A 27,818-nucleotide genomic window follows, 5' to 3' on the forward strand; every position below is an offset into this window, starting at 1 on the left:
ATGGTCTCGATCTCCTGACTTGGTGATCCGCCCGCCTCGGCCTCCCAAAGTGCTGGGATTACAGGCGTGAGCCACCGCGCCCGGCCACACATATAACTTTATAAAGTTGCATGAAAATATGCCAGTTTGCATCTTCAAACACCAAGCACGGTGATGAAAGGCCACCATAGACCGCAGCTGTAAAGTTTAGGCTTAACAACACTTGCTCTGTTCTAAGGCATACCTACTTTTTAAACCACATAATTTCATCAGGGTCAGCGATGCCAAACTCCCTCATCTTCTTCACCATGATGGCACTTTTCCTGACAGCCACCTCATAACGCTGGCTGCGAGTGAGGAAGTTCAAGTCCTCATGCTGGAAGTCTGGGTCGTTCAGGATCATGTTCTCTGAAAGGGGGTTAAAGGGCATTAAAAGGCAGACAGACACTCGGGCCTCCGTTCCACCCTCCCTGAATCACAATAGGCTTCAGAGTCGCGGACACACCTGGGGAATGGCGATATCCCCCCACCAGGGACACAGGCTGTTCCTCGAAGTGGGGGTCCCGGCTCCCCTAACGCTGGGCCAGAGGGCCTAGGCCCCACAGCGCCCCTGACTCCGCATCGAGGGAGTCTCCAGCTTTTCTCGGGAAAGGAGGGAGGTCTCGCCCGCCGCCCTCACCGATCTCTCGGCGGCGCCGGGTTTTCTCGGGGCTGCCGTCCAGGATGTGTGTAAGCAGCTCCGGGTTGAAGCTGGCGGAATCCCGCTCCCTGCGCAGGTCCGGGTTCATGGCGACGACCAGCTGGCAGCGAAGTAAGCACCGACCGAGGTGGCAGTGACAATCTAAATCCGCAGCTCCAGCGCCGGCCGGACCCTAGGAGGCAGCCTCAGGACGGCGCAAGTCCCCGCCTCCGCTCGCCCGGCCCGCCCCGGCCCGCCCCTTCTTTCTCCGTGGCCCTTTGGCGCGTGAGTGACAGCGGCCCAGACAGAGGGGGCGATGTCCGCGTCGTGGCTGGGGCCGGTCGCGGGGCAGACTAATCCCCTGCTCCTGGCCAGGGGAGGCTCCCGAGCGGATCCTCGGGAAAGGGGCTCCGAAGGTCAAGAAACTGCCCTGCTGGGCGTCCGGGGAGTGGGAAAATAAAGCACTTTTTGTATCCCGCCCCTCCCCCGTCACGTGACCACGCGAGGCGGAAAGAAGAAATCCGAGGACCGGCGACGCCTAGAACAGGTTGGCTGGGGCCTTGGGAAGGGGGCGGGACAACGAGGCTGAGGAGGGATTGCGCCTGCACTTGCCCCCCTCTTACCCCGCGGCCTCTGTCACGCTTCCGGGTCCGTGCCCCTAGGCCTCTCCGAAATGAGAGTGGTCGGGAGACTCTGGAGTCTGGGGCGGGAGATGGGGCTTTGCGGAATTGCTAGGGAGGGTCACTTGGGCTTTTGCCAAATCCACCCGGATTGGAGAAGAATGGGACGGGAACCAGTCTCTTTGGGGAGAGGCTCCAGTTACCTTTTGTTAAGATAATGGCGTCTTTACTGGCAGAGGCGTGGGTTCCGGGGCCCTGGGTGTGGGATTGTGAGCGCTGTTCAAGGGGTGGACGGGGACTTAGAATGAGACCAAGCGGGCGGTGCTGCTCTAAGCCTTCTGTCTGGGAAACCAGACATTTTCCCCCGCAACCTGGCAGTTACTAGAGGTCTTGGAATCCAGACTTCTTTGCTTTCGCCATCACCGTCATCAAAGTGGGAAATGCACACTTACTGTTAAAACCTAGTGTAGGGCCGGGCGCGGTGGCTCACGCCTGGAATCCCAGCACTTTGGGAGGACGAGGCGGGCGTATCACTTGAGCCCAGGAGTTCAAGACCAGCCTGGGCAACATGGCAAAACCCCATCCCTACAAAAAATACCAAAAAATTAGCTGGGTGTAGTGGCATGCGCCTGTAGTCCCAGCTACTCTGAAGGCTGAGATGGGATGGTGGCTTGAGCCCCGGAGGTGGAGGTTGCGGTGAGCCAAGATTGTGACATTGCACTCCATCCTGGGCAACATAGTGAGACCCTGTCTCTACAGAAAAAAAACAAAAAACAAAAACAGTTCTGCCCAGTGGGATTGTAGACAAGGGAGATTCAGGGATTTGTTGAATCATCTCTAGTCATTTTTTTTTTTTTTCTTGAGACGGAGTCTCGCTCTGTCGCCCAGGCTGCAGTGTGGTGGTATGATCTCAGCTCATTGCAACCTCCACCCCCTGGGTTCAAGCGATTCTCCTATCTCAGCCTCCCGAGTAGCTGGGATTATAGGGGCTCGCCACCACACCCAGCTAATTGTATTTTTAGTAGAGACAGGATTTTGCCATGTTGGCCAGGCTGGTCTCGAATTCCTGACCTGTTGATCCACCTGCCTCGGCCTCCCAAAGCGCCGGGATTACAGGCGTGAGCCGCTGCGCCTAGCCTGTCTGTAGTCTGTGTAATACTATGACTTTGGTTTTCTCAGAAGTAAAACTACGAGAGATGCATAACATTCATAATTTGAATAATAGAACTATAATACACACTCTTAACCCCTAGGACCTCAGGATCCTCATTTGTCTTATTAAGCTGCTGATCTCAGGCCCCTTCAACAGCAGAGAGGGTGTCTAGTTTATTCTCTGTACCTGGCACAGTGCCTGCCCCGCTAAAGGTGCTCAGGAAATCTTTGTGGAGTGAACAAATGGCTGCTTGACAGCTGACCTTCTAGTTCTAATATTCTAGGAAACCAATTGCTCTTAATGTAACAATGATAAGGGGTGTACTTAGCATTGAATAGAAAAGACTTAGATGAAGAGCTAAATTTGCTGAGTTTTTATTTTGAAATAATTTCAAATTTACACGAGAATTACAAGAATAGAACAAAGAACTTTTCTTCTGTGACTTTAACGCTTTTTTTTTTTCTTTTGAGATGATGTCTTCCTCTGTCACCCAGGCTGGAGTGCAGTTGCATGATTTCAGCTCACTGCAACCTCCGCCTCCTGGGTTCAAATGATTCTCATGCCTCAGCCTCCAGAGTAGCTGGGACTACAGGAATGTACTACCACACTTGGCTAATTTTTGTGTCTTTATTAGAGGCAGGGTTTCACTATGTTGACCAGGCTGGTCTCCAACTCCTGGCCTCATGTGATCCGCTCGCCTCAGCCTTCCAAAGTGCTGAGATTACAGGCGTGAGCCACTGCGCCTGGCTGGCTGACATTAACACTTTTGAAGTGTATAAGCCCATTGTTTTGTAGTGTTGGGTCTCAGAAAACAATACCCCAAAATGAAGGCCTCAGAAGCAACCCACAAAGCAAGTTGTTTTTTTTTTTTTTTTTACCTTCTGTCCTCCTCTCCCTCAGGTGCATTCTCCCCCGAGCCTAGCCAGAGAAGTTAGAATCCTCTTCCCCAAGGCAGGTCATAGAAAACAGAGTCATTTACCCCCAAAGCCAGCCATAAAACCCTAAATATAAGCTGGGTGCGGTGGCTCACGCCTATAATCCTGGCACTTTGGGAGGCCAAGGCAGGTGGATAGCGAGGTCAGGAGATCGAGACCATCCTGGCTAACACGGTGAAACCCCGTCTCTACTAAAAATACAAAAAAAGCCGAGCGAGGTGCCATGTGCCTGTAGTCCCGGCTACTCGGGAGTCTGAGGCAGGAGAATCGCTTGAACCGGGGAGGCAGAGGTTGCAGTGAGCCGAGATTGCACCACTGCATTCCAGCCTGGGCGACAGAGTGAGACTCTGTCTCAAAAAACAAACAAAAAAAACCCTAAATATATTACTCTTAACTTTCCCTCCTTCTTTTGGTGTAAAAACTGGCCAAAAAGAAATTATCTGACCTAGCTTGTTTGACTGTAGGCCATAAGACTCCATTCCAGAGAGGGTCCTCCCCCACACCCAGAAGGAAGGAATGCCTGTTCCAAGAGGCCAAGAAGAATCTAGACAGACAGGCCTTGCTGGGCCTCCCCACTCAGTCTATCAGCATTAGATCATACCTTTTATGTTCAATCATTTGCATAAAAATGTACAATTTCCCCTGTATCTTTGGGTCTTCCTTCTGAAGGCTCCCATATGTACATGTTACATAAATTTGTACACATTTTTGACTATTACTCTGCCTTTTGTAAGTTGATTTTTTGCAGCGAAACTTCAGAGGGCCCCTTGGCACCTACAGTAGAATGTCCCTTAATTCAGATTTGTCTGATATTTCTTCATGATTAGATTCAGATGATGCATTTTTGGCAGGAATACCACACAAGTGATTAATAGGAGAAAAGGCATACACATGTATTTGATCATAGTTTTGCTTTGTTTTGTTTTGTTTGAGACAAGGCCTTGCTCTGTCACCCAGACTAGAATGCAGTGGCGCAACCATAGTTCACTGCAGCCTCAAACTCTTAGGCTCAAGCATTGATCATAGTTTTATTTATTTATTTATTTATTATTTTTTCAGGCAGAGTCTCACTCTGTCGCCCAGGCTGGAGTGCAGTGGCATGATCTCGGCTCACTGCAGCCTCCGCCTCCCGGGTTCAAGCAATTCTGCTGCCTTAGCCTTCCCTGTAGCTGGGATTACAGGCACCCGCCATCATGCCTGGCTAATTTTTGTATTTTTAGTAGAGACGGGGTGTCACCACATTGGCCAGGCTAGTCTCGAACTCCTGACCTCAAGTGATCTGCCCGCCTTGGCTCAAAAAAAAAAAAAAGAAAGAAAAAAGGAAGAGGCCCGGTGAGGTGTCTCACGCCTGTAGTCCCAACACTCTGGGAGGCCGAGGTGGGTGGATCACCTGAGGTCAGAAGTTCATGACCAGCCTGGCCAACATGGTGAAACCCCGTCTCTACTAAAAATACAAAAATTAGCCGGGCATGGTGGCACACGCCTGTATTCCCAGCTACTCAGGAGGCTGAGGCAGGAAAATCGCTTGAACCCGGGAGGCAGTGGTTACAGTGAGCCGAGATCCCGCCACTGCACTCCAGCCTGGCAGACAGAGCGAGACTCCATCTCAAAAAAGAAAGAAAGAAAGAAAGAAAAATGTATAATCATTATACCAGCAAATTCCTCCCTCGGTGAGAATTGCATAGCAACCCCAGCATCCTCCCCACCTCTTTTTCCCCAGATCCACCAGAAAAACAGGAACATCTAGTGGGGACACTCCTTTAGTCCCCTCATGTTAGTGAGCACACACTCGTGTACACTAGCCCTTCATAATTGTTATCTCCCCCTGTTTTAGACAACCAGTGTTTTCATAGCCTATGCCACCTCTATAACCACCTGATGGGTTCCCACAGCACAAACGAAATCATTTCATGGAGAGCATGGCATTACAGTCAAGAAAGACTAATTGACACAAGGCTGGCCACACCACGTGGGAGTTGGTATTATTAGTCAATCTTCTGGAAGGCTCAGAGATTAGACATTATTTAAATGTAGTTTCGGGGAAGGGGTGGTGGCAGCTAGGCAATGGGTGCTTGCTGCTGATTGGTTGGGGGTGCAACCTTAGGGGTGTGGCAAATGGTCCTCCTGCAGGCTGAGTCACCTCTGAGGGGGGCCGCAGGAGTGGTGGGTGGGGTCCATGTGGAGTTGTTGGTGTCAGACATGCAAAAAACCTGAAAAGATATCTCCAAAGGCCAATCTTAGGTTCTGCAATAGTGATGTTATCTGCAGGAGTAACTGGGGAAGTTGCCTAGCTTGTGACCCCTGGAATAATGGCTGGCAATCTTAGCAGAGTTCGGGCTTCTCTGTGCTCCTAGCCTGGTGGTTTCTCATTAGCTTTACAAAGGTGGCTGCGTTTTAGGGAAGGGCTATTTTCATTTAAACTGTAAACTAAATGTCTCCCAAAGTTAGCTTGGCCCAAATCCAGGAATAATTAAGGGCAGCTTAGAGGCCAAAGGCAAGAGGGGGACTGGCTAGATCAGCTCTCCCCCGCTGTCCTAATTCTCTCACTGATACAATTTTTGCAAAGGACATCTTACTTCTCTATCAAACTATGACTCTGAGGAGGAGATCTTTTTGCTCATTGTTGGCCATTATGGGCTGTACAATGTGTTCCTTGTTCTGAAGAAATAATGGTCGGCTTTCCAAATCTGTGCACTGTCTCTTGTTCTACTTTTTCATTTTTTTAAATTTAATTTTGTTTTTGTGAGACAGCATCTCACTCTGTCACCCAGGCTGGAGTGCAATGGTGCAATCATAGCTCACTGCAGCCTCGACCTCGCAGACTCAAGCGATCCTCCCATCTCATCCTCCCAAGTAGCTGGGATTACAGGCATGCACGACCACACCCGGATAATTTTTATATTTTTAGTAGAGACGAGGTTGCCCTCAAACTCCTGAGCTCAAGTGATCTGCCCGCCTCAGCCTCCTCAAGTGCTGGGATTATAGGCATGAGCCACTGCACCCAACCTTGTTCTGATTGTTTTGAAGCATTTGTAGCTTCTAGCAGGTAAGCAAAGCCCAGTCCAGAGTCACAGTCTGTTCCTGTCAAGGAACAGAGTTCAGTGGTACTGCCCCAGAGCTACCAGCATGAGTCTCACTTGCCAGCTATGATCAGGACCTTCCACCACGTTATCTGCACCATAGCCACAGGCAGTCTCTGTCTCTTTTGCTGACAAACAGAACAGTTCTTCCTGGCACTATGTGCCTGAGAGGGTGCAAGAGGAACGTGTTGATGAAGAGAGTCAAATTGGGCAAGGCGCGGTGGCTCATGCCTGTAATCCCAGCACTTTGGGAGGCCAAGGTGGGTAGATCATCTGAGGTCAAGAGTTCGAGACCAGGCTGACAAACATGGTGAAACCCCATCTCTACTAAAAAGCACTGGGATTACAGGTGTGAGCCACCATTCTGGGCCACACATAGCTTTTTAAATATTGTTTTGGTTTATTATTATTTTGAGACAGGGTCTTACTCTATTGCCGAGGCTACAGTATAGTGGTGTGATCATAGCTCACTGCAGCTTCAACCTCCTGTGGTGGTGATCCTCCTGCCTCAGCCTCCTAAGTTGCTGGGACTACAGGTGAGAGACACCACACCTGGCCCATTTTTGTATTTTTTTTGTGGAGATGGGCTGTTGCCATGTTGCCCAGACTGGTCCCGAATTCCTAGTCTCAAGGGATCCACCTGGCTTGGCCTCCGAAAGAGCTGGGATTACAGGCATGAGCCACTGTGCCTGGCCTAATGTTTTAATTTTTTCATAGAGATGAAGTCTCACTATGTTGTCAAGGCTGGTCTGTGTTTGTTTTTTGTTTGTTTGTCTTGCTTTGTTTTTTGAGACGGAGTCTCGCTCTTATTGCCCTGGCTGGAGTGCAATGGCACGATCTTGGCTCACTGAAACTTCCACCTCCTGGGTTCAAGCTATTCTCCTGCCTCAGCCTCCCAAGTAGCTGGGATTACAGGCATGCGCCACCATGCCCGGCTAATTTTGTATTTTTAGTAGAGACAGCGTTTCTCCATGTTGGTCAGGCTGGTCTTGAACTCCTGACCTCAGGTGATCCGCCCGCCTCAGCCTCCCAAAGTGCTGGGATTATAGGCATGAGCCACTGCACCCGGCCATGTTTTTTTTTCTTTTTTTTTTAATACATGAATGTATATTATATCAAAAAAATTTTTTCTTTTTTATATATATTTTTTATTATACTTTAAGTTCTAGGGTCCATGTGCACAACATGCAGGTTTGTTACATATGTATACATGTGCCATGTTGGTGTGCTGCACCCATTAACTCGTCATTTACATTAGGTATATCTCCTAATGCTATCCCTCCCCCCAAAAAATTTTTTTTTTAATTTTAAAACACTGCCTACTGGAATTAGTCTTCAAGATGCTGTTGGTCTCATATATCTGCTAATCTCTGTTTTGTAGTCTATCCGGTTTATCAGGAATCTTCAAAATCCCTCTCAACTATTTGGTTACAGGAGCCCATGATGCTGCCCAAACCTGGGACCTATTACCTCCCCTGGGAGGTTAGTGCAGGCCAAGTTCCTGATGGGAGCACGCTGAGAACATTTGGCAGGTGAGAACGGTTATTTTTTTCACTGGTGGGGGTGATGATATGTTAAATGTCTTTCTCTACCTCCAAAAAGACATAATTAGAAAAGATTTTTATAACTTCATCTAATTATGTTAAAATACTAAAAAAAAAATTAGTTGCCGGGCGCGGTGGCTCATGCCTGTAATCGCAGCACTTTGGGAGGCCGAGGTGGGTGGATCACCTGAGGTTGGGAGTTTGAGACCAGCCTGACCAACATGGAGAAACCCTGTCTCTACTAAAAATACAAAATTAGCTGGGCGTGGTGGCGCATGCCTATAATCCCAGCTAATCGAGAGGCTGAGGCAGGAGAATTGCTTGAACGTGGAAGGTGGAGGTTGTAGCGAGCCGAAATCGCGCCATTGCACTCCAGCCTGGGCGACAAGAGCAAAACTCTGTCTCAAAAAATAATAATAATAAATATATATACATATATATATTGAAAAAATTAATATTCATTGTAAAAAGTGTAGATAGTCCATAAAGGTGTAGAGAGGAAGGAAAAGTCACCCATAATCCCATTACCCAGACAACCACTGCTAACCTTTGGTGATTATCCTCGTGCTTTTCCATATGTATGTGTTTGTATATGTGGGTGGGTATGGAGACACCCAATATACGTATATACATATATACTCTGTCAGTTATTTATCAGTTATATATTGCTATGTAACATATTACCCATACACACAATTTTAGTTTTTCGTAGAGACAGGGTATCCCTATATTCTCAAGGCTGGTGTCTAACTCCTGGGCTCAAGCGATCCTCCTGACTCAGCCTCCCAAAGTGCTGGGATTACAGGCGTAAGCCACTGTGCCCAGCCTCCCCCAAATTTAAAATAATTATTGTCTCATAGTTACTGTGGGTCAGGAATTTGGGAGTGGTTTAACTGTTTGGATCTGGCTCAGGGTCGCTCATGGGAGTGGCATCCAGATGTTGGCCAGGGCTGCAGTTATCTGGAGGCTTGACTGGGGCCAGGACCTCTACTTCCAAGATGGCTTGTTCACGTTTGGCAAATTAGTGCTGGCTCTTGGCAAGATAACTCAGTTCCAGACAATGTGGATTTCTCTGTAGTTCTGTGTGAGGGTCCTCATAACACAGCAGTTTCTGCCAGAAGCAGTGACCAAGAGAAAGAGCAGGGTGAAAACCACAGTGTCTTTCATGACTTAGCTTCCAGAGTCAGTCTCAGTCATTTCTGCAGTATCCTACTGATTACACAGGTCAGCCTTACTCAGCATCGTAGGGGATGCACAAGGATGTAAATATCGGGGGTGAGAATCACAGGGGACCATCTTAGAGACACGTGTACATACATATAGAAGTATTTTAACCTAGGCCAGGTGCGGTGGCTCACGCCTGTAACCCCAGCACTTTGGGAGGCCGAGGCAGGCGGATCACCTGAGGTCAGGAGTTTGAGACTAGCCGGACCAAAATGGCGAAACCCTGTCTCTACTAAAAATACAAAAATTAGCCGGGCTTGGTGGTGGGTGCCTATAATCCCAGCTACTCAGGAGGCTGAGGCAGGAGAATCGCTTAAACCTAGGAGGTGGAGGTTGCAGTGAGCTGAGATTGCGCCACTGCACTCCAGCCTGGGGGACAGGGTGAGACTCCATCTCAAAAAAAAAAAAAAAAAAAAAAAGACTAGTATTTTAACCTAGCCTGGGTGCGGTGGTTCACGCCTGTAATGCCAACACTTTGGGAAGCCTAAGTGGGCAGATCACCTGAGGTCAGAAGTTCAAAACCAGCCTGGCCAACATGGTGAAACCCCGTCTCTATAAAAAATACAAAAATTAGCCAGGTGTGGTGGCAGGCGCCTGTAATCCCAGCTATTCGGGAGGCTGAGGCAGGAGAATTGCTTGAACCCGGGAGGCAGAGGTGGCAGTGAGCTGAGATCATGCCATTACACTCCAGCCTGGGTGACAAGAGTGAAATTCGGCCTCAAAAAAAAAAAAAAAAGAAGTATTTTAACCTAGTTAAGGGCTGGGTGTGGAGGCTTACACCTGTGATCCTAGCACTTTGGGAGGCTGAGGTGGGAGGATTGCTTGAGTCCAGGAGTTTGAGACAAGCCTGGGCAACATGGTGAAACCCTGTCTCTACAAAATATACAAAAAATTAGCCAGGCATGGCAGTGTGCGCCTGTAGCCCCAGCTACTGGGGAGGCTGAAGTGGGAGGATCACCTGAACCTGGGAGGTTTAGGCTGCAGTGAGCCGAGACTGCACCACTGTACTTTATCCTGGGTGACAGAGTGAGATCCTGCCTCAAAAAAAAAAAAAAAAAAAAAAAAAAGAAAAGAAGAAGAAAGCAATATTTTAACCTAGATGAGATCCTATTATATTACTGTATTGTAGCATTTATTTACTTAGCTGTGTATGGTAGACCTAGTGCCATCTCAGACATGTAGATCTATATCATCATTTTGAATGGTTCCATTTTGTTTCACTGTGGTGATATTGCATCATTTACTTAGCCAAGTCTTTTGTTTTTTTTTGAGACGGAGTCTAACTCTGTCACCAGGCTGGAGTGCAGTGGTGCAATCTCGGCTCACTGCAACCTCTGCCTGCCAGGTTCAAGCGATTCTCCTGCCTCAGCCTCCCGAGTAGCTGGTATTACAGGCAACTGCCATCACACCCGGCTAATTTTTTTTATTTTTTAGTAGAAACGGTGTTTCACCATCTTGGCCAGGCTGGTCTCGAACTCCTGACCTTGTAATCCACCCGCCTCGGCCCCCCAAAGTGCTGGGATTACAGGCGTGAGCCACCACGCCCGGCCTACTTAGCCAATTCTTTATTGATTTTCTTTTCTTTTTTTCTTTTTTTGAGACAGAGCCTTGCTCTGTTGCCCAGGCTGGAGTGCAGTGGCGCGATCTCAGCTCACTGCAAGTTCTGCCTCCCAGGTTCACGCCATTCTCCTGCCTCAGCCTCCCAAGTAGCTGGGACTACAGGCACCTGCCACCACGCCCGGCTAATTTTTTTTTTTGTTTTTTTTTTGTTTTTGTAGAGATGGGGTTTCACCGTGTTAGCCAGGATGGTCTCGATCTCCTGACCTCGTGATCTGCCTGCCTAGGCCTCCCAAAGTGCTGGGATTACAGATGTGAGCCACCGCACCTGGCCTTTTTTGTTTTTTTAAATTGAGATGGAGTCTTGCTCTGTCGCCAGGCTGGAGTGCAGTGGCGTGAGCTTGGCTCACTGCAACCTCCAACTCCCTGGTTCAAGCGATTCTCCTGTCTCAGCCTCCCAAGTAGGTGGGATTACAGGCGTGCCCCACCACACCCAGCTAATTTTTGTATTTTTTTAAGTAGAGATGGGATTTCACCATGTTGGCCAGGATGGTCTCCATCTCTTGACCTTGTGATCTGTCTGCCTCAGCCTACCAAAGTGCTGGGATTACAGGCGTGAGCCATCGTGCCTGGCTTTATTGATTTTCAATAAAGACATCAAGATAATTCAGTAGGGAAAGCATAGTCCTTTCAACAAGTGGAACTACTGGATATTGACACTGTGTCGCCCAGGCTGAAGTGCAAGTGACATGATCATGGCTCACAACAGCCTTGACCCCTCAGCCTCCCAAGTAGCTGAGACCACAGGCGTGCACCACTGTACCTGGCTAATTAAAAAAAAAAAAAAATTATAGAGACGGCATCTCGCTGTATTGCCCAGGCTGGTCTCTAACACCTGGGCTCAAGCAATCCTCTTGCCTCAGCCTCCCAAAGTGCTGGGATTACAGATGTGAGCCACCATGCCCAACCTAGATTTTTTTTTTTTTGAGACGGAGTCTTGCTCTGTTGCCCAGACTGGAGTGCAGTGGTACGATCTCGGCTCACTGCAGCCTCTGCCTCTTGGGCTCCAGTGATCCTCCCGTCTTGGCCTCCCAAGTATCTGGGACCACAGCTGCGTGCCACCATGCCTGGCTAATTTTTTTTATATTTTTAGTAGAGACAGGGTTTCAACATGTTGCCCAGGTTGGTCTCAAACTCTTGGACTCAAGTGATCCATCTGCCTTGGCCTCCCAAAGTGCTGGGATTACCAGCATGAGCCACCACGCCCAGCTAGATATTCTTATGGTAGGGGAAAACATCTTGATCTTTACTTCACAACATACAAAAAAAAATTTACACTGTGTCATAGATTACAAGCTAAGACTGAAATGTCTCAAGTAAACAGCAGAATATCTTTACAACTTTGAGTAGGCAAAGATTTCTTTTTTTTTTTTCTATTTATAGCATTTGTAGCCCATATTGAAAAAAAAAAGATGGCCAGGCACAGTGGCTCATGAGTGTAATCCCAGCACTTTGGGAGGCTGAGGCAGGTGGATCACGTGAGCCCAGGAGTTCGAGACCAGTGTGGACAACATAGCAAAACCCTGTCTGTACAAAAAATTAAAATATTAGCCACGTGTGATGGCAAGTACCTATAGTCCCAGCTACTCAGGAGGCTGAGATGGGAGGATTGCTTGAGCAGCCTGGAAGGTCAAGGCTGCAGCCTGGGATACAGAAAAAAAAAAAAAAGAAAGGAAGAAAAAGATTTCTTAGACAAGACATAGAAAGCAAAAGTCATAAAAGAAAAAAATGATCAGGTGTGGTGGCTCATGCCTGTAATCCCAGTACTTTGGGAGGCTGAGGTGGGTGGATCCCTTGAGGTCAGGAGTTGGAGACCAGCCTGGACAATATGGTAAAACCCCTTCTCTACTAAAAATACAAAAATTAGCCAGGCCTGGTGGCAGGCACCTGTAATCCCAGCTACTCGGGAGGCTGAGGCACAAGAATTGCTTGAACCCAGGAGGCGGAGGTTGCAGTGAGCCGAGATTGCTCCATTGCACTCCAGCCTGGGCAACAAAGCGAGACTCCATCTCAAAAAAAAAAAAAAAAAAAGAAAAAAGAAAAAGAAAAAAATGAATAAACTGATCATCAACAAAATTAAAAGCTTCTGCTTATCAAAATATGCCATTAAGAAAATTGAAGGCAAGGAGATGAAAATTAAAAGGAATTCCTTCATATTCTACAGTGTAGACTGAAACATTTTTTTCTGGTTTGTTGCTGCAATTTGCATTTCTGTGATGAGACTGAGGCTGAACACTTTTCTATAGATTTCTTGGCCATGCAAACCTTTTGAGCGTGGTGGTGATTCTACGTATGGATGGAAATTATTGCATTTCTTCTGCCTTCCAGGTTGTGCCTCTATGACATGATTCAGTCCAGAGTAACACTGATGGCTCAGCACGGATCCGATCAGCACCAGGTTCTTGTCTGTACCAAGTTGGTGGAGCCCTTCCACGCCCAGGTGGGCTCCCTGTACATCGTCCTCGGGGAGCTCCAGCATCAGCAGGGTGAGCTGCAGCCTCAGATCCCCTTTCTCATCCTGGGGCCTGAGCTGGGGCAGTCTTCGGGGCAGTCAGTGAGAAATGGGCTCGTGACCCAACAGCAATGTCTCATCAGGGTTAATGTTTCTTCCAAATTAGCCCACAAGTTCAACACTCTTGAGGATTCAACTCAGAGTGGACTGGCCTCATGGTGCCAACTCAAAGACAGGGTGGCTGGTCAGGAGTTCGAGACCAGCCTAGCCAACATGGCGAAACCCCATCCCTACTAAAAGTACAAAACTTAGCTGGGCGTGGTGGCATGTGCCTGTAGTCCCAGCTACTCAGGAGACTGAGGCAGGAGAATCACTTGCACCAGGGAGGTACAGGTTGCAGTGAGCCAAGATCGTTCCACTGCACTCCAGCCTAGATGACAGAGTGAGACTCCGTCTCAAAAAAAAAAAAAAAAAAAAAAGACAGGTACAGTGAAGAGACAATCCCCCATGGGGAAGTGAGAACGAGGAGAGAGAAACCACTAATTTCTCAAGGCCTACAACACACCAGGCCTGATGTGAGGCAGCTTGCTTAGATCTTTTTGAATTTGCCTGTCAGCCTTTAATCTGAGTCTTAAAAATTTTTTTTTTTTAGTTTTTTTGAGACAAGATCTCTCTCTGTTACCCAGGCTGGAGTGCAGTGGTATGATCACAGCTCACTGCAACCTCCATCTCCTGGGCTCATGAGGCTCCCACCTCAGCCTCCTGAGTAGCTGGGACCACAGGCGTGCACCACCACACCTGGCTAATTTTAAAATTTTCTGTGGAGACAAGGTGTCATTATTTTGGGATGAGGGATCTGCGTGCCTTGGCCTCCCAAAATGCTGGGATTACAGGTGTGCAGCACCAAACTCAGCCTTACTTCTGATTCCTTTTTATTTTTTGAGACGGAGTCTTGCTCTGTCGCCCAGGCTGGAGTGCAGTGGCGCGATCTCGGCTCACTGCAAGCTCCGCCTCCCGGGTTCACGCCATTCTCCTGCCTCAGCCTCCCAAGTAGCTGGGACTATGGGCGCCCGCCACCACGCCTGGCTAATTTTTTGTATTTTTAGTAGAGACGGGGTTTCACCGTATTAGCCAGGATGGTCTTGATCTCCTGACCTTGTGATCCACCCGCCTCGGCCTCCCAAAGTGCTGGGATTACAGGCGTGAGCCACCGTTTTTTTTTTTTTTTTTAGACAGTGCCTTGCTCTGTCACCAGGCTGGAGTGCAGTGGCGCGATCTCAGCCCACTGCAACCTCCAGCTCCCTGGATCAAGCGATTCTCCTGTCTCAGCCTCCCGAGTAGCCCTGCCTGCTTCTGATTCTTACTGCTGGTTTTTTTTTTTTTTTGTCTCGAGACAGAGTCTTGGTCTGCTGTCCAGGCTGAGTGCAGTGGCGCGATCTTGGCACCAGGCTCTATCCTGCCATTTCTGTATGGATTGCCTGTAGTGGAAACCAAATGGTTGATGAAGGAAAGTTATTTCTTTTTTTTTTTTTTTTGAGACGGAGTGTCGCTCTCGCCAGGCTGGAGTGTAGTGGCATGATCTCAGCTCACTGCAACCTCCGCCTCCCGGGTTCAAGCGATTCTCCTGCCTCAGCCTTCCGAGTAGCTGGGACTACAGGCATGCGCCACCACGCCTGGCTAATTTTTGTATTTTTAGTAGAGATGGGGGTTTCACCATGTTGGCCAGGATGGTCTCGATCTCTTGACCTTGTGATCTGCCCGCCTCGGCCTCCCAAAGTGTTGGGATTACAAGCGTGAGCTACCGCGCCTGGCCTGGAAAGTTCTTTAGAGAAGAGTCACAGCGAATGAACGCAGGAGAAATCCGTAAATTCAAAGTCATCACTTTAAAAGCCCTGACAAAATAAAAAATCCAGGCAACAGTCCTCGCTAGTGGCCAAAATCATTAGGAAACATCTTGATGAGATCATTGTGATGGAGGGACCCGCCAGCAGTGCCTAGGCTGGCCTGATCAATGTCGACGTGATAAAAATCAGAAGGGCAAACATCAGGTACCTCCGATGTGAGTCATGAGGAAGACACACATAGCAACACCTCTGTTGGGTTCTTGCCAAAAAAATTGAACCTGGGCTGGGCGCCGTGGCTCACGCCTGTAATCCCAGCACTTTGGGAGGCCGAGGCGGGCGGATCTCGAGGTCAGGAGATTGAGACCATCCTGGCTAACATGGCGAAACCCCGTCTCTACTAAAAATACAAAAAGTTAGCCGGGCGTGGTGGCACACGCCTGTAGTCCCAGCTACTCAGGAGGCTGAGGCAGGAGAATCGCTTGAACCCGGGAGGCGGAGGAGGTTGCAGTGAGCGGAGATCGTGCCACTGCACTCCAGCCTGGCAGAGCGAGACTCCATCTCAAAAAAACAACAACAGAAGAAAAAACAAAAAAAATTGAACCTGAAGCTAATCAGGCCTCAGAGGAAGTAGCCTGTTACCGGGCACTGGCTAGTTTAGTACTCTTATAATTTGCATCACAACCTGTTTTTTGTGGGGTTTTTTCTTAAAACATTTTTGTCGCTGGGCGCGGTGGCTCACACCTGTAATCCTAGCACTTTGGGAGGCTAAGGCAGGAGGATCACCGGAGGTCGGAAATTCAAGACCAGCCTGACCAACATGGAGAAACCCTGCCTCTACTAAAAATACAAAATTAGCTGGGCGTGGTGGTGCATGCCTGTAATCCCAGCTACTCGGGAGGCTGAGGCAGGAGAATCGCTTGAACCCGGGAGGCGGAGGTTGCTGTGAGCCGAGATCGCACCATTGCACTCCAGCCTGGGCAACAAGAGCAAAACTCCGTCTCAAAAAAAAAAAAGAAAAAGAAAAAGTTTGTCTTGATTTTCTCTTATTTTTTGTGAGACGGAGTCTCACTCTCTCACTCTGTCACCCAGCCTGGAGTGCAGTGGCGTGATCTCAGCTCACTGCAACCTCCGCCTCCCAGGTTCAAGCGATTCTCCTGCCTTGGCCTCCTGAGTAGCTGGGATTACAGGCGCCTGCCACTGTGCCTGGCTAAGTTTTGTATTTTTAGTAGAGACAGGGTTTCACCATCTTGGCCAGGCTGGTCTTGAGCTCCTGACCTCATGATCCACCTGCCTCAGCTTCCCAAAGTGCTGGGATTACAAGCGTGAGCCACCGCGCCCGGCCTGTCTTGATTATCTAAGTCATACACGCTCGTCATTCACGGAGGGAACTCGAATCAAAGATGAGGAGGTGGGAGGAGAGCATCCTGGCTGACTGTGCTCTGTCCACCCTGACCTCTGGCCTGGGCAGAGGGGGCACCCTGTGGCTGCTTTAAACCTCCCTGTGAAAACCAAGTGTGGTGGCTCATGCCTGTAATCTCAGCAATTTGGGATGCCAAGGAAGGAGGACTGCTTGAGATCAGGAGTTTAAGACCAACCTGGGCAACATAGTGAGACCCCATCTTTACAAAAATTAAAAAGTTATCCAGGTGTGGTGGCACAGGCTTGTAGTCCCAGTTACTTGAGACGCTGAGGTGGCAGGATTGCTTGAGTCCAGGAGTTCAAGGTTACAGTGAGCCAAGATTGCTCTACTGCACTCCAGCCTGGATGACAGAGTGAGACCCTGTTTCAAAAAAAAAAAAAAGGAAAAAAAAGTCCAGGTGTGGTTGCTCACACCTGTAATCCCAGCACTTTGAGAGGCTAGGGAGGGAGGATCGCTTGAGCCCAGGAGTTCAAGACCAGCCTGGGAAATGTAGCAAGAGCCTGTCTCTACAAAATAATAAATAAGTAGAAATAAAACCATAAACCTTCCTGTGCCAGGCCCAAAGCTCTATGGGGACACAAAGGTTGATCAGATGTGAATCCTGCCCTGTGGCCAGACTGACAGTACTGAGGACAGGTGAGAGGTCACCCTTCTCAAATGTTTGCCTAAGAGCTAGCTAAGAAGACCAACAGGTGAAGACATGCTGGTGTGTGATAAAACCCATGGACCTGACACCCGCTGGCGCCATCCAAAGGCCCGAGGGCCCCCTGTTCTGGAACTAAGGTGTGGGGCACAGCCTTTCCCAGGCCTACTCCAGAGGCCCTCGGAGCATGCCCAGGCTGAAGGGCACTGGACCACAGCAAACAGCAAGCAGCTGCCCACAAGCCCTTGCCATGCATCCTCTGCCTTCTGCTTTTCTCTCACTGCACCCCTGCACTTTGCCCTCAGAAACCTTCCTTGTGTGGCTGGGCTCAGGAGCTCACTAATCTAGCATGTTCGGAGGCTGAGGTGGGAGGATCACTTGAACCCAGGAGTTTGAGACCAACCTGGGCAACGCAGAGAGACGCCATCTCTACAAAAATGAAAATATTAGTGGGGTGTGGTGGCTTGTGCTTGTAGTCCCAGCTACTTGGGAGGCTGAGGCAGGAGGATGGCTTGAGGCAGGAGTTCGATGCTGCAGTGAGCTATGATCATGCCACTGCACTCCAACCTGGGTGACAAAATGAGACCCTGTTTCTAAAGAAAAAGAAAAGAGGCTGGGCACAGTGGCTCATGCCTGTAATCTCAGAACTTTTGGGAGGCTGAGGCTGGTGGATTACTTGAGTCCAGGAGTTCAAGACCAGCCTGGACGGCCGGGTGTGGTGGCTCACGCCTGTAATCCCAGCACTTTGGGAGGCCGAGGTGGGTGGATCACTTGAGGTCAGGAGTTCGAGACCGGCCTGACCAACATGGTGAAACCCTGTCTCTACAAAAAATACGAAATTAGCTGAGCGTGGTGGCACATGCCTGTAATCCCAGCTATTCAGGAGGCCAAGGCAGGAGAATCGCTTGAAACTGGGAGGCGGAGGTTGCAGTGAGCTGAGATCACACCATTGCACTCCAGCCTGGGTGACAAGAGCAAAACTCCATCTCAAAAAAAAATAATAATAATAACCAGCCTGGGTAACATGGTGAAACCCCGTCTCTACAAAAAATGCAAAAATTAGCAGGGTGCGTTGTTGCACACATGCCTGTAGTCCCAGCTACTGGGGAGGCTGAGGTGGGAGGATCACTTGAGCCAGGGAGGCAGAGATTGCAGTGAGCTGAGACTGTACCACTGTACTGCAGCCTGGGTGACAGAGTGAGACCCTGTCAAAAAAAAAAAAAAAAAGAGAGAGAGAAAGAAAGAAAAAGAAAGAAAAGAAAAGAAAGAGAAAAGAGAAGAGAAAGGGAGGGAGGGAAACCTTCCTGTGTGTCCCCTGTGCACCTCCCTCTTCGAGCATCCTTACAGCTCTGGGACTTGCCCAAACCTTTCTCCCCAAACCACACACCCACAGAGTCTGGAGCAGGGCCGGAGTTTCCCCGGCTCCTCGGGTGTGTCAGCATCACACATCCCTCCCTGTCTCCCTGCTGCCAACCAGTTCCACCACTGTGCACCTCTGCCCCAATTCCACCTCCCACGCCTGCTGCTGCACCTTGGACTTGTTTTCCTGAAATTGCATGCCATCCACTCTCCCTTCTACTTCTGCTGCGTCCCTCTTGCCCTATCAGGACCTGTGGACTCAGGACTCCCGGGCTTTCTCCCCCATCTCTCTTCCCCGTTGGGCCTCACTACCATTTCAGCCACTTTCCTGGCAGCTTCACTCCTGCCCCAAGACCCCAGCCTCCACCCTCCTGGTTCTGCCAACTGTTGAGTGCAGAAAGATCACAGAACTCCAAGGATTTGGAGCTCAATGATTTCAGGGGCTCACTGGCATTCCCCTGCTCTGCCTAGAAATCCTTCCTGTGTCCTGGCCACACCCCCCTCCCCGGCGCCACCACAGCTAGTCCAGAAATTCCCCTGCCTCACAAGAACCCACTTCCTCTCCTCCCCTGTCCCTCCCGGCTTATTGCTTTATGAGCCAGCTAGAATCGAGGCCACAGGCAGCCGTTCTTCCTCCTACCATCAGACACTGAAACGGCCACCGACCATCAGACACTGAAACGGCCACCGTTAGCTCCTTCCTCTAGTCTAAGAGGAAGCGGGGTCCCTCCTACCTAAGGGGTTACCACAGTTCTTCCCTGTCCACATATAAGGTGTTCAAGCCTCCTCTATATGGAAATAATAGTCTCAATGACAAGAAGTCATCTTCTACACTAGAGTCTGACCTACCTGCCCATGACCTTCCCTCCCTTTGCAGACAAACCTCCTAAAAGAACATCTGTGCTCCGTATAACCCCTTCCTCTTCCCAGGCCTCACCCCACTGCATTCTGACTGCTTTTTATAACCCAGGCCCTTCTTCTTTGCTCCAGGTTCTTAATCTTTTTTTTTTTTTCCTGAGATGGAGTCTCGCTCTGTCACCCAGGCTGGGAGTGCAGTGGCACGATCTCTGCTTACTGCAACCTCTGCTTCCTGGGTTCAAGCGATTCTGCCTCAGCCTCCCTAGTAGCTGGGATTACAGGTGCCCGCCACCACACCCAGCTAATTTTTGTCTTTTTAGTAGAGACAGGGTTTCACCATGTTGGCCAGGCTGGTCTTCAGCTCCTGACCTCAGGTGATCCGCCTGCGTCAGCCTCCCAGAGTGCTGGGATTACAGATGTGAGCCACTGCGCCTGGCCTTTTTCCTTTTTTTTTCCTTTTTTTTTTTTTTTTGAGACAGAGTCTCATTCTGTTTCCCAGGCTGGAGTGCAGTGGCGCAATCTTGGCTCACTGCGACATCCACCTCCCCGGTTCAAGTGATTCTCGTGCCTCAGCCTCCCAAGTAGTCGGGCCTGGGTAACTTTTGTATTTTTAGTAGAGACAGGGTTTTCGCTTGTTGGCCAGGCTGGTCTTGAGCTCCTGGCCTCAAGTGATCTGCTTGTCTTGCCCTCCCAAAGTGTTGGGATTACAGTGTTGGGAGCCACCGCGCCACGCCCCGATTCCTCTCTGACCTGTGTCAGCACTGGGGCTAACAGAAGCTGAGACACACAGGCAACCTCATGTTTCAAATGAGTTCATTGCCTAAGGGTAGCCTGTATAGACAGCTAGGCAGGATGACACCCTGAATTCTGCCCTCAGGCTGTGCTATAAATGACCTAGACTAGAGGAAAGGGCAGGCAGAGCCTTTATCTCAAACAGCGTCAAAAGAAAACAATGTAATAGCCTAGAACATTGAATCTATTTATTTACTTATTTTGAGACAGAGTCTCACTCTGTTGCCCAGGCTGGAGTGCAGTGGCTTGATCTCGGCTCACTGCAACGTCTGCCTCCCAGGTTCAAGCGATTCTCCTGCCTCAGCCTCCCGAGTAGCTGGGTTTACAGGTGCCAGCTACCACACCTGGCTAATTTTTGTATTTTTAGTAGAGACGGGGTTTTGCCGTGTTGGCCAAGCTGGTCATGAACTCCTGACCTCAGGTGATCCACCCATCTCGGAAATCTATTTATTAAAGTGCTCAGAGAGCAGAAAGAGCATGAGTGCAAAAAATTTTTTTAACTTTTTTTTTTCTCTTGCAAGCTATGACTGGGGAAAAAAGAAAGAAAAAAAAAATGTCAGCAATGCACAGTGGCTCACGCCTATAATCCATGCATGTTGGGAGGCCGAGGCGGGCAGATCACTTGACCCCAGGAGTTTGAAACCAGCCTGGGCAACATGGCGAGACCCCATCTCTACAAGAAATACAAAAATTAGCTGGGTGTGGTGGTGCGTCCCTGTAGTCCCAGCTCCTCAGGAAGCTGAGATGATCACCTGAGCCTGGGAGGTGGAGGCTACATTGAGCCATGATTGAGCCACTGCATTCCAGCCCAAGTGACAGAGCAACACCCTGTCTCAAAAAAAAAATTTTTTTTTTTAGGTGGAGTCTTGCTCTGTTGCCCAGGCTGGAGTGCAGTGGCGTGATCTTGGCTCACTGCAACCTCCACCTCCTGGGTTCAAGCAATTCTCCTGCCTCAGCCTTCCAAGTAGCTGGGATTACAGGCATGCACCACTACACGCGGCTAATTTTTGTATTTTTAGTAGAGATGGGGTTTCATCATGTTGGCCAGGCTGGTCTTGAACTCCTGACCTCAAGTGTTCCACATGCCTTGGCCTCCCAAAGTGCTGAGATTACAGGTGTGAGCCAGTTCACCTGTCAAAAGAAAGAAAATTTTTAAAAAGTCTCTCGGAGATGTCTTTCCTGTTTGGTGCCACCTGAATAGTGGCAAACCTTTCCATTATGTATCAGGTCACCACCGCATCTGCTAGAAGCCCCCCTCGTCCAGGGTGGGATGACCTGCTCCTATAAAGCCAAACTTACCGGGAGCTCAGTCTCTTGGATTTTTAAAATATGGGTGTCTCTTTTCCCCGGTTCCTGATGACATTGTGTCCCAAGGTGCCAAGGGGGCCTTTCCCTCAGTCCAGAGGGGTTTTCTGACCACCTGCTAAGTTCCAGACACGGGCCGACTGTGCATGACAGGCCCACGGTTCTAGGCCCAAATACTCAGTTGCCTTTGCCCCATATGCTGTTATTGTCCACATCACTTGCTGCCAAAACCCAGGACTGAGCTGTGGAGGGAACAGCTGGAATGCACCTTGGAGGACGTTGTTGACACGCCGCTCAGTCGCCGTTCGTGCCCTGGTGTTTGTCTTGCAGACAGAGGCTCCGTGGTGAAGGCGCGCGTGCTGACCTGTGTGGAGGGGATGAACCTGCCCTTGTTGGAACAAGCCATCCGGGAGCAGAGACTGTACAAGCAGGAGCGGGGCGGCAGCCAGTAGGAAACAGCAGCCTAGCAACACCCTCACCTGCTTCAGAGCCCGAACCCTCTGGAGCTGCAGGAGCCCGGGAGAGCACAGACGCCTCCCCAGCGACGGCCTTGTCTGGAGCTCGAAAGCCGAGGGGCGGGTGATGAATCCAGCCCCTTCCCCTACTTTGGGATTGGCTCAGCAATGAGAACCCAGAAAGCATGCCATAAATCCGACAGCCCCACCCCAGGAGACTGCAGGTGGCCGAGCTTGGGCGCCGGGGCCGTGCTTGGTGTGGGGCCATGGAGGGTTCCAGAAGGTCCTGGTGAATAAAGGCCCAGGGGGCGTGCTCTTGAAGTGTGCTCGTGGTGCAGCGCCGGCGGGGGCCAGGAGGGGGAGCTGCAACCCAGGCTGTGGGCTGCAGCCTCTCAGGGCTTCTGGTGAATTCTGGGCCTGGGGCCTCAGGGTAGGGCACCAGGGGCCCAGGGGCTGGGGTGGGGGGCCCAGGATGCAGGGGTCTGCCCCTGGCCAGGCTCTGCCTTCAGAGGAGGCTGAGCGTCGTCACACGGGCCGGGCTGAGGCCCTGGGCCCTGACCGTGCAGCCTAAGACAGGACTGTGGCTTTAAGACCCTCCTGACCCCTGACCTCTGCCCCCAGTGGCCCTGGCCCCTGGGCAGCCCTTCCTGGCCGCCATGTGTACCCAGAGCCTGGGACTGGCTGGGCTGGGCAGTGACCCAGGTGGGAAAGGGTGGTCTTGCCCTCTAAGGCCCGGCACAAGTGAGAGGCCTGGGGGTCCATGTTGGGCTGGGCTGGGCGAGGGGTGGTCTCTGACTTCCTGGGGGTTCTGGCTGGGATGGGCAGGGGGCTGGGTGGGAGAGTGTGGGCCCTGCCCTCCGAGGCCGGGCATGGGCGAGAAGCCTGGGGGTCCTGGCTGAACTGGGCTGGGTGAAGGGGGCCCCCTGACCCCCTTGGGGTCCGGGCTGGGCTGGGTGAGGGGCGGTTTCCGACCCCCAGCCAGGTTCCCAGGCAGGATGAGCTGGGGTTGGGGTGGCTAGGCCGTGGGCCTTGGGAGCTGGGCAGTCTGGGCTGGGCTGGGCTGGGCAGGGCGCCACATGGAAGCTGGAGGAGCAACGGGAGCGCTGGGCGTGGGGTGCAAATTGCCCGGTGCCTTCTGTTTCCCAGGCAGCTCTGTGGCCATGGATATGTTCCAGAAGGTAGAGAAGATCGGAGAGGGCACCTATGGGGTGGTGTACAAGGCCAAGAACAGGGAGACAGGGCAGCTGGTGGCCCTGAAGAAGATCAGACTGGATTTGTGAGTGCTGGGACGGCCCCTGAGTTACCCACCCTGGGCCATCACAACCTGGGCGCTCCCTGATCCGTTCCCTCTTTCCTGGAGTCCACGTTTAACTCCTCTGGGTGCTGCCCAGCAGCCCTTACCTGTCCTCTCCCCAGTTCACTGCCTTCTGACCAGCCTTTGCCGGGGCCCTGACTGTGGAGTTTGGTGGATGACGTGCCAAGGAGCACAGGTCTCCATTGCCGGGGCCCTGGTCATTCTGTGGGGTTAAGGAGAAGCCGATCCCCCTGGCTGGAAGTGCCCTTCTTGGCCCAAGTCTCTGCCCACGGCTGTGCCCTTGTTTCTTGCAGGGAGATGGAGGGGGTCCCAAGCACTGCCATCAGGGAGATCTCGCTGCTCAAGGAACTGAAGCACCCCAACATCGTCCGGTGAGTTGGGGATTGAGGTGGGGAAGCTGGGATGGCGAAGGTAGCATCCTGACTGCCATCTCCCTGTCAGACTGCTGGACGTGGTGCACAACGAGAGGAAGCTCTATCTGGTGTTTGAGTTCCTCAGCCAGGACCTGAAGAAGTACATGGACTCCACCCCAGGCTCAGAGCTCCCCCTGCACCTCATCAAGGTAGGGAAGGAAGGGCAGGGAAGGAGAGGTGACACCCCATCCCTGCCATCCCTGTCCACGCAGCACCTCCGCTCAGCTGGCTGCACCTCGCGCTCGTTTCTCCAGAGCTACCTCTTCCAGCTGCTGCAGGGGGTGAGTTTCTGCCACTCACATCGGGTCATCCACCGAGACCTGAAGCCCCAGAACCTGCTCATCAATGAGTTGGGTGCCATCAAGCTGGCTGACTTCGGCCTGGCTCGCGCCTTCGGGGTGCCCCTGCGCACCTACACCCATGAGGTATTGTGAGACAAAGAGGAGAGAGGGGCAGCAGGAGGAGTGTCACCCATGCACTCAGCCACCCTGAGTGATACTGTTTCTTTGCCCTGCAGGTGGTGACACTGTGGTATCGCGCCCCCGAGATTCTCTTGGGCAGCAAGTTCTATACCACAGCTGTGGATATCTGGAGCATTGGTTGCATCTTTGCAGAGATGGTAGAGAGAGGGGCACACATGGCCACAGGGTGCCACAGGCAGGGTCCTACTGGGGTTGGGTGGGGTCCACTGATGCTCCCATTCGAGGCGGATTAAAGAGTGTTTGGGGCTGGACATGGCTCACGCCCGTAATCCCAGCACTTTGGGAGGCTGAGATGGGAGGATGGCTTGAGCCCAGGAGTTTGAGACCAGCCTGGGCAACGTAACAAATCCCCAGCTCTTAAAAAACTACAAAAATTAGCTGGGTGTGGTGGTGCATGCTTGTAGTCCCAGCTACTTGGGAGGTTGAGGCAGGAGGATTGCTTGAGCCTGTGGTTGAGGCTGCAGTGAGCTGTGATCGCACGACTGCACTCTAGCCTGGGTGACAGAGCAAGACTCCGTCTCTATTTTTTAAAAAAAGGTGTTTGGTACTGGCTAAAGGACTGAGGAAGGTAGCTTTATTCCAAAAGAGGCCAGAATTCTTTGCACAGTCATGGAAAAGATATCTTGACAGGCCTCTCCCTGGGTCTGGCCACTTATCTGGTATTGGATTCTGTATAACAAAGTGGCGGACCCCACACCTTCTCTTCTTCCCCATTTCAGGTGACTCGAAAAGCCCTGTTTCCTGGTGACTCTGAGATTGACCAGCTCTTTCGTATCTTTCGTATGCTGGGGACACCCAGCGAAGACACATGGCCCGGGGTCACCCAGCTGCCTGACTATAAGGGCAGCTTCCCTAAGTGGACCAGGAAGGGACTGGAAGAGATTGTGCCCAATCTGGAGCCAGAGGGCAGGGACCTGCTCATGGTAGGTGCATGTGGGCTCCAGCTGCTGCTCCGACTACAGTTTCCCCTCATCAGCCAGCCTCTTACATAACCCTGGCACTTTCTGAGTCCAAGGCCAGGGTCTCTTTCCTGACCTTTGTACACAACTGGCTTGGGTATACTGATTGTTCAACCCGGAAGCCTCCCCCAGGATAAGTGCAGTATTTATCTTCCCTGTGAAAGTGGCGCTCATTGAGTTAGCTCTGTCTTTATGCTGTGCTACACGCCCTTTTTCCCTAGTTGTCTTGTGTGTTTGGTTATTCTACTTTGTGGACATTACTGCTCCATCTAAGCTGTATGCCTCCCCAGGCTGGGGCCATACCTTCTTTTCTTTTCTTTTTTTTGAGATGGAGTTTTGCTCTTGTTGCCCGGGCTGGAGTGCAATGGCGTGATCTCAGCTCACTGCAACTTCTGCCTCCTGGGTTCAAGTCATTCTCCTGCCTCAGCCTCCCGAGTAGCTGGGACTACAGGTGCCTGCCACCACGCCCAGCTAATTTTTGTATTTTTTTTTTTAGTAGAGACAGGGTTTCACCATGTTGGCCAGACTGGTCTTGAACTCCTCAGGTGATCTGCCCACCTCGGCTTCCCAAAGTGCTGGGATTACAGGCATGAGCCACTGTGCCCGGCTGGGGCCTCTCGTTCTACTGCCTGGCTGTTCCCCTGTGACTCCTACAGTGGTCAGTCTTCAGAACAGGCTGTTCCCTACTGCCTGGGCCCATGCCACAGTTCTCACTCACCCCTCCTGTTGGTGTCTTGAGCTGACCCAGGCCGGACTGCCCAGGAAGTCTCTGGCAGAACCGTCTGTTTTTTTTTTTTTTTTTGAGACAGGGTCTCAGTCTGTCACTCAGGCTGGCGTGCAGTGGTGTGACCATGACTTACTGCAGCCTTGACCTCCCAGGCACAAGCGATCCTCCCATCTCAGCCTCCTGAGTAGCTGGGACCACAGGTATACGCCACTATGCCTGGCTACCTTTTGTATTTTTTTTGTAGAGACAGCATTTCACCACGTTGCCCAGGCTGGTCTCGAACTCCTGGGCTCAATTGATCCTCCCACCTCAGCTTCCTGAGTAGCTGAGACTATAGGGGTGCACCACCATGCCCAGCTAATTTTATTTTTGTAGAAATGGGGTCTCACTATGTTGCTCAGACTGGTCTCGAACTCCTGGGCTCAAGCGATCCTCCTACCTTGGCCTCTCAAAGTGCTGGGGGGATCACAGGTGTGAGCCACTGCGCCCGTCCACTGTCCATTCTTGCCCACAAAGTCTTGGAGCCACATTTCTCTCCTTAATCTGGTGTTGAATGAGAGGAAGGTGGGTCAGTATTTTCATCTTCAGGCTGTGTGTCCAGCTCTCCAGAAGTCTCTGTGTGTTGTGTACCCGCCCAATGGCAGCAGGACGGCACAGACTCCAGCCAAGGCCCCGAGCCCTCCAGCTGGGCTACTCCACCACAGGGGGTCCTTCCACATCCTGTCTGGGTTTAGGGACTCTAGGGCAGAGGGCTGGACAGGTTTGGCCTCTTGGAGTGTCAGTCCCTGAGCCCCCACTCAGTGTTCCTCCCTGGACAGCTTCAGTCCCCTGCTTCCTGATACGTGGGGTTCTGTGCTCTTCCCAACTAGAAGCAGGCTGGGACCTGGGACCCTCCCCGAGAAGGGGGGTGACTCAGCTTCAGTGGCCTGAGGAGACCTGGGTGACTCGTTAGGACTGTCCAGATTCCAGGAGTGTCCGGAACTGGCTGGAGAGCTGGGAGGTCATGGCTTCATGCGGTTCTGGGTTTGAGGGCAGCCAATTTGGGGCCCAGGCCCTTGATCTGGGACCTGGGAGGGGAATTTCTCACCCCACCCTGGCTGCACCCAGACCACATCTTCTTCCTTCTTTCTTCCTAGCAACTCCTGCAGTATGACCCCAGCCAGCGGATCACAGCCAAGACTGCCCTGGCCCACCCGTACTTCTCATCCCCTGAGCCCTCCCCAGCTGCCCGCCAGTATGTGCTGCAGCGATTCCGCCATTGAGAATGTCAAGGCCACACTCAGATCCTTTCTCGAGCAGCTGCTGCCCCAGCTGCCTCCTACCCATTGCCAAGAGAGGATGCATCTGGGGAGAGCAAAGCACTAAGGAATTCAGCATCAGCCTGCAGAGGGCTGAGTCTGGGTTAGTCCTGCCCGCAGGTTAGCGAGATCCTGTGTTGTTTTTTGGGTTGGACGGTGCCGTTTCAAAATAGAGGCACAGATGCTCCATGCACGAGGGGTCCCCGGGCACTGGAACAAGTGCCAAGTTGAAGGCAGGGGGCCTGCCAGAGCTGGGTGTGGGTATTCAGGCCCTCACCTGCCCTGCCTGCAGGGCCAGACCCTGAGGAAAGGGCGCCCCCTGCTGGTCTTTTTGGATTTAAAATGTTTGGGGGAAGAGTTGAGTTCCAGTTCAGTCCCAAGTTAAACAGGAGGGAGTGAGGGAGAGGAGAGAGGGCGTTCCCCGGATCCCAGGAGAGCTGGGCTATGACTGCAATAAGGAGTTGTTCCTTCACCTGAGATGTGCTTCTTTTGGTTCATTTCTGGCTTGACAACAATAAATAAACGTGGTATGTTCCTGAGTTTTCTGATTGTTCTGCTCACAGGGGACACCTGGGCTTCCTGACAAGGGGAACATTGACACAGGGCTGGAGACAGCTCTGGCCCAAACTGAGACAGTGGGGAAATGGGCAAGGAGTAGGTGGGGA

The 27,818-nt window shown here is 51.3% G+C and overlaps 3 protein-coding genes and 2 long non-coding RNA genes across 8 annotated transcripts in view, besides 14 other annotated features; 3 read left to right on the top strand and 2 right to left on the bottom strand.

Annotated features, from left to right (window-relative positions):
* The window catches only part of ACOX1 (acyl-CoA oxidase 1), a 37,660-nt gene extending 36,800 nt beyond the window's left edge, over positions 1-860 (bottom strand). For 2 of the 4 annotated variants that reach the window (NM_004035.7, NM_007292.6), the window contains exons 1-2: positions 659-860; positions 228-387 (exon numbers count right to left, since the gene is read on the bottom strand). In NM_004035.7, coding sequence (NP_004026.2) covers positions 228-387; positions 659-767 — 269 coding nt within the window. In that variant the 5' untranslated portion in view covers positions 768-860. Of the gene's footprint in view, positions 1-227; positions 388-484 lie in introns of those variants that run through there. The other 2 variants (NM_001185039.2, XM_047436183.1) reach the window with 2 other exon arrangements.
* Positions 34-617: an enhancer, noted in NCBI's record as "H3K27ac-H3K4me1 hESC enhancer chr17:73974421-73975004 (GRCh37/hg19 assembly coordinates)". NCBI's record gives its function as "activates a minimal SCP1, AML or CMV promoter by ChIP-STARR-seq in primed H9 embryonic stem cells {active_cell/tissue: H9 hESC(primed)}" and the evidence as "EXISTENCE:reporter gene assay evidence [ECO:0000049][PMID:30033119]".
* Positions 34-1,201: a biological region, named in NCBI's record as "hESC enhancers GRCh37_chr17:73974421-73975004 and GRCh37_chr17:73975005-73975588".
* Positions 523-752: an enhancer, noted in NCBI's record as "active region_12785". NCBI's record gives its function as "activates an Ori minimal core promoter by ATAC-STARR-seq in GM12878 lymphoblastoid cells {active_cell/tissue: GM12878}" and the evidence as "EXISTENCE:reporter gene assay evidence [ECO:0000049][PMID:35858748]".
* Positions 618-1,201: an enhancer, noted in NCBI's record as "H3K27ac hESC enhancer chr17:73975005-73975588 (GRCh37/hg19 assembly coordinates)". NCBI's record gives its function as "activates a minimal SCP1, AML or CMV promoter by ChIP-STARR-seq in naive H9 embryonic stem cells {active_cell/tissue: H9 hESC(naive)}" and the evidence as "EXISTENCE:reporter gene assay evidence [ECO:0000049][PMID:30033119]".
* Positions 833-902: a silencer, noted in NCBI's record as "silent region_8999". NCBI's record gives its function as "represses an Ori minimal core promoter by ATAC-STARR-seq in GM12878 lymphoblastoid cells {active_cell/tissue: GM12878}" and the evidence as "EXISTENCE:reporter gene assay evidence [ECO:0000049][PMID:35858748]".
* TEN1-CDK3 (TEN1-CDK3 readthrough (NMD candidate)) lies at positions 911-27,693 on the top strand. Its single transcript, NR_037709.1, has 10 exons — positions 911-1,205; positions 7,881-7,978; positions 13,160-13,317; positions 21,835-23,235; positions 23,568-23,645; positions 23,716-23,836; positions 23,942-24,112; positions 24,205-24,306; positions 24,889-25,092; positions 26,992-27,693. It is a non-coding gene; the product is annotated as a TEN1-CDK3 readthrough (NMD candidate) (long non-coding RNA).
* Positions 934-22,280, top strand: TEN1 (TEN1 subunit of CST complex). Its single transcript, NM_001113324.3, has 4 exons — positions 934-1,205; positions 7,881-7,978; positions 13,160-13,317; positions 21,835-22,280. Exons 2-4 carry the CDS (start codon positions 7,887-7,889, stop codon positions 21,954-21,956), a joined length of 372 nt encoding a protein of 123 aa, NP_001106795.2. The 5' UTR covers positions 934-1,205; positions 7,881-7,886; the 3' UTR covers positions 21,957-22,280.
* Positions 1,323-1,422: an enhancer, noted in NCBI's record as "active region_12786". NCBI's record gives its function as "activates an Ori minimal core promoter by ATAC-STARR-seq in GM12878 lymphoblastoid cells {active_cell/tissue: GM12878}" and the evidence as "EXISTENCE:reporter gene assay evidence [ECO:0000049][PMID:35858748]".
* Positions 5,086-5,915: an enhancer, noted in NCBI's record as "H3K27ac-H3K4me1 hESC enhancer chr17:73979473-73980302 (GRCh37/hg19 assembly coordinates)". NCBI's record gives its function as "activates a minimal SCP1, AML or CMV promoter by ChIP-STARR-seq in naive and primed H9 embryonic stem cells {active_cell/tissue: H9 hESC(naive and primed)}" and the evidence as "EXISTENCE:reporter gene assay evidence [ECO:0000049][PMID:30033119]".
* Positions 5,322-5,616: an enhancer, noted in NCBI's record as "tiled region #628; K562 Activating DNase unmatched - State 5:Enh". NCBI's record gives its function as "activates a minimal TATA promoter and a strong SV40 promoter by Sharpr-MPRA in K562 cells {active_cell/tissue: K562}" and the evidence as "EXISTENCE:reporter gene assay evidence [ECO:0000049][PMID:27701403]".
* Positions 18,991-19,070: an enhancer, noted in NCBI's record as "active region_12787". NCBI's record gives its function as "activates an Ori minimal core promoter by ATAC-STARR-seq in GM12878 lymphoblastoid cells {active_cell/tissue: GM12878}" and the evidence as "EXISTENCE:reporter gene assay evidence [ECO:0000049][PMID:35858748]".
* Positions 19,241-19,290: an enhancer, noted in NCBI's record as "active region_12788". NCBI's record gives its function as "activates an Ori minimal core promoter by ATAC-STARR-seq in GM12878 lymphoblastoid cells {active_cell/tissue: GM12878}" and the evidence as "EXISTENCE:reporter gene assay evidence [ECO:0000049][PMID:35858748]".
* LOC124904061 (uncharacterized) lies at positions 20,366-22,254 on the bottom strand. The gene is made up of 2 exons (XR_007065911.1): positions 21,499-22,254; positions 20,366-21,330 (listed from the first exon to the last, which is right to left on the bottom strand). It is a non-coding gene; the product is annotated as an uncharacterized LOC124904061 (long non-coding RNA).
* Positions 22,176-22,225: an enhancer, noted in NCBI's record as "active region_12789". NCBI's record gives its function as "activates an Ori minimal core promoter by ATAC-STARR-seq in GM12878 lymphoblastoid cells {active_cell/tissue: GM12878}" and the evidence as "EXISTENCE:reporter gene assay evidence [ECO:0000049][PMID:35858748]".
* Positions 22,356-22,435: a silencer, noted in NCBI's record as "silent region_9000". NCBI's record gives its function as "represses an Ori minimal core promoter by ATAC-STARR-seq in GM12878 lymphoblastoid cells {active_cell/tissue: GM12878}" and the evidence as "EXISTENCE:reporter gene assay evidence [ECO:0000049][PMID:35858748]".
* On the top strand, positions 22,549-27,692 carry CDK3 (cyclin dependent kinase 3). Its single transcript, NM_001258.4, has 8 exons — positions 22,549-22,661; positions 23,106-23,235; positions 23,568-23,645; positions 23,716-23,836; positions 23,942-24,112; positions 24,205-24,306; positions 24,889-25,092; positions 26,992-27,692. The coding sequence occupies exons 2-8, from the start codon at positions 23,120-23,122 to the stop codon at positions 27,115-27,117; spliced, it is 918 nt and encodes a 305-aa protein (NP_001249.1). The 5' UTR covers positions 22,549-22,661; positions 23,106-23,119; the 3' UTR covers positions 27,118-27,692.
* Positions 24,788-24,988: a silencer, noted in NCBI's record as "peak3002 fragment used in MPRA reporter construct". NCBI's record gives its function as "represses an SCP1 promoter by STARR-seq MPRAs in K562 erythroleukemia cells {active_cell/tissue: K562}" and the evidence as "EXISTENCE:reporter gene assay evidence [ECO:0000049][PMID:32103011]".
* Positions 26,602-26,896: a silencer, noted in NCBI's record as "tiled region #2383; K562 Repressive non-DNase unmatched - State 10:DNaseD". NCBI's record gives its function as "represses a minimal TATA promoter and a strong SV40 promoter by Sharpr-MPRA in K562 cells {active_cell/tissue: K562}" and the evidence as "EXISTENCE:reporter gene assay evidence [ECO:0000049][PMID:27701403]".

The sequence above is a fragment of the Homo sapiens genome, chromosome 17 (genome assembly GCF_000001405.40).
Source record: "Homo sapiens chromosome 17, GRCh38.p14 Primary Assembly".
Taxonomy (NCBI): Eukaryota; Metazoa; Chordata; class Mammalia; order Primates; family Hominidae; genus Homo; species Homo sapiens.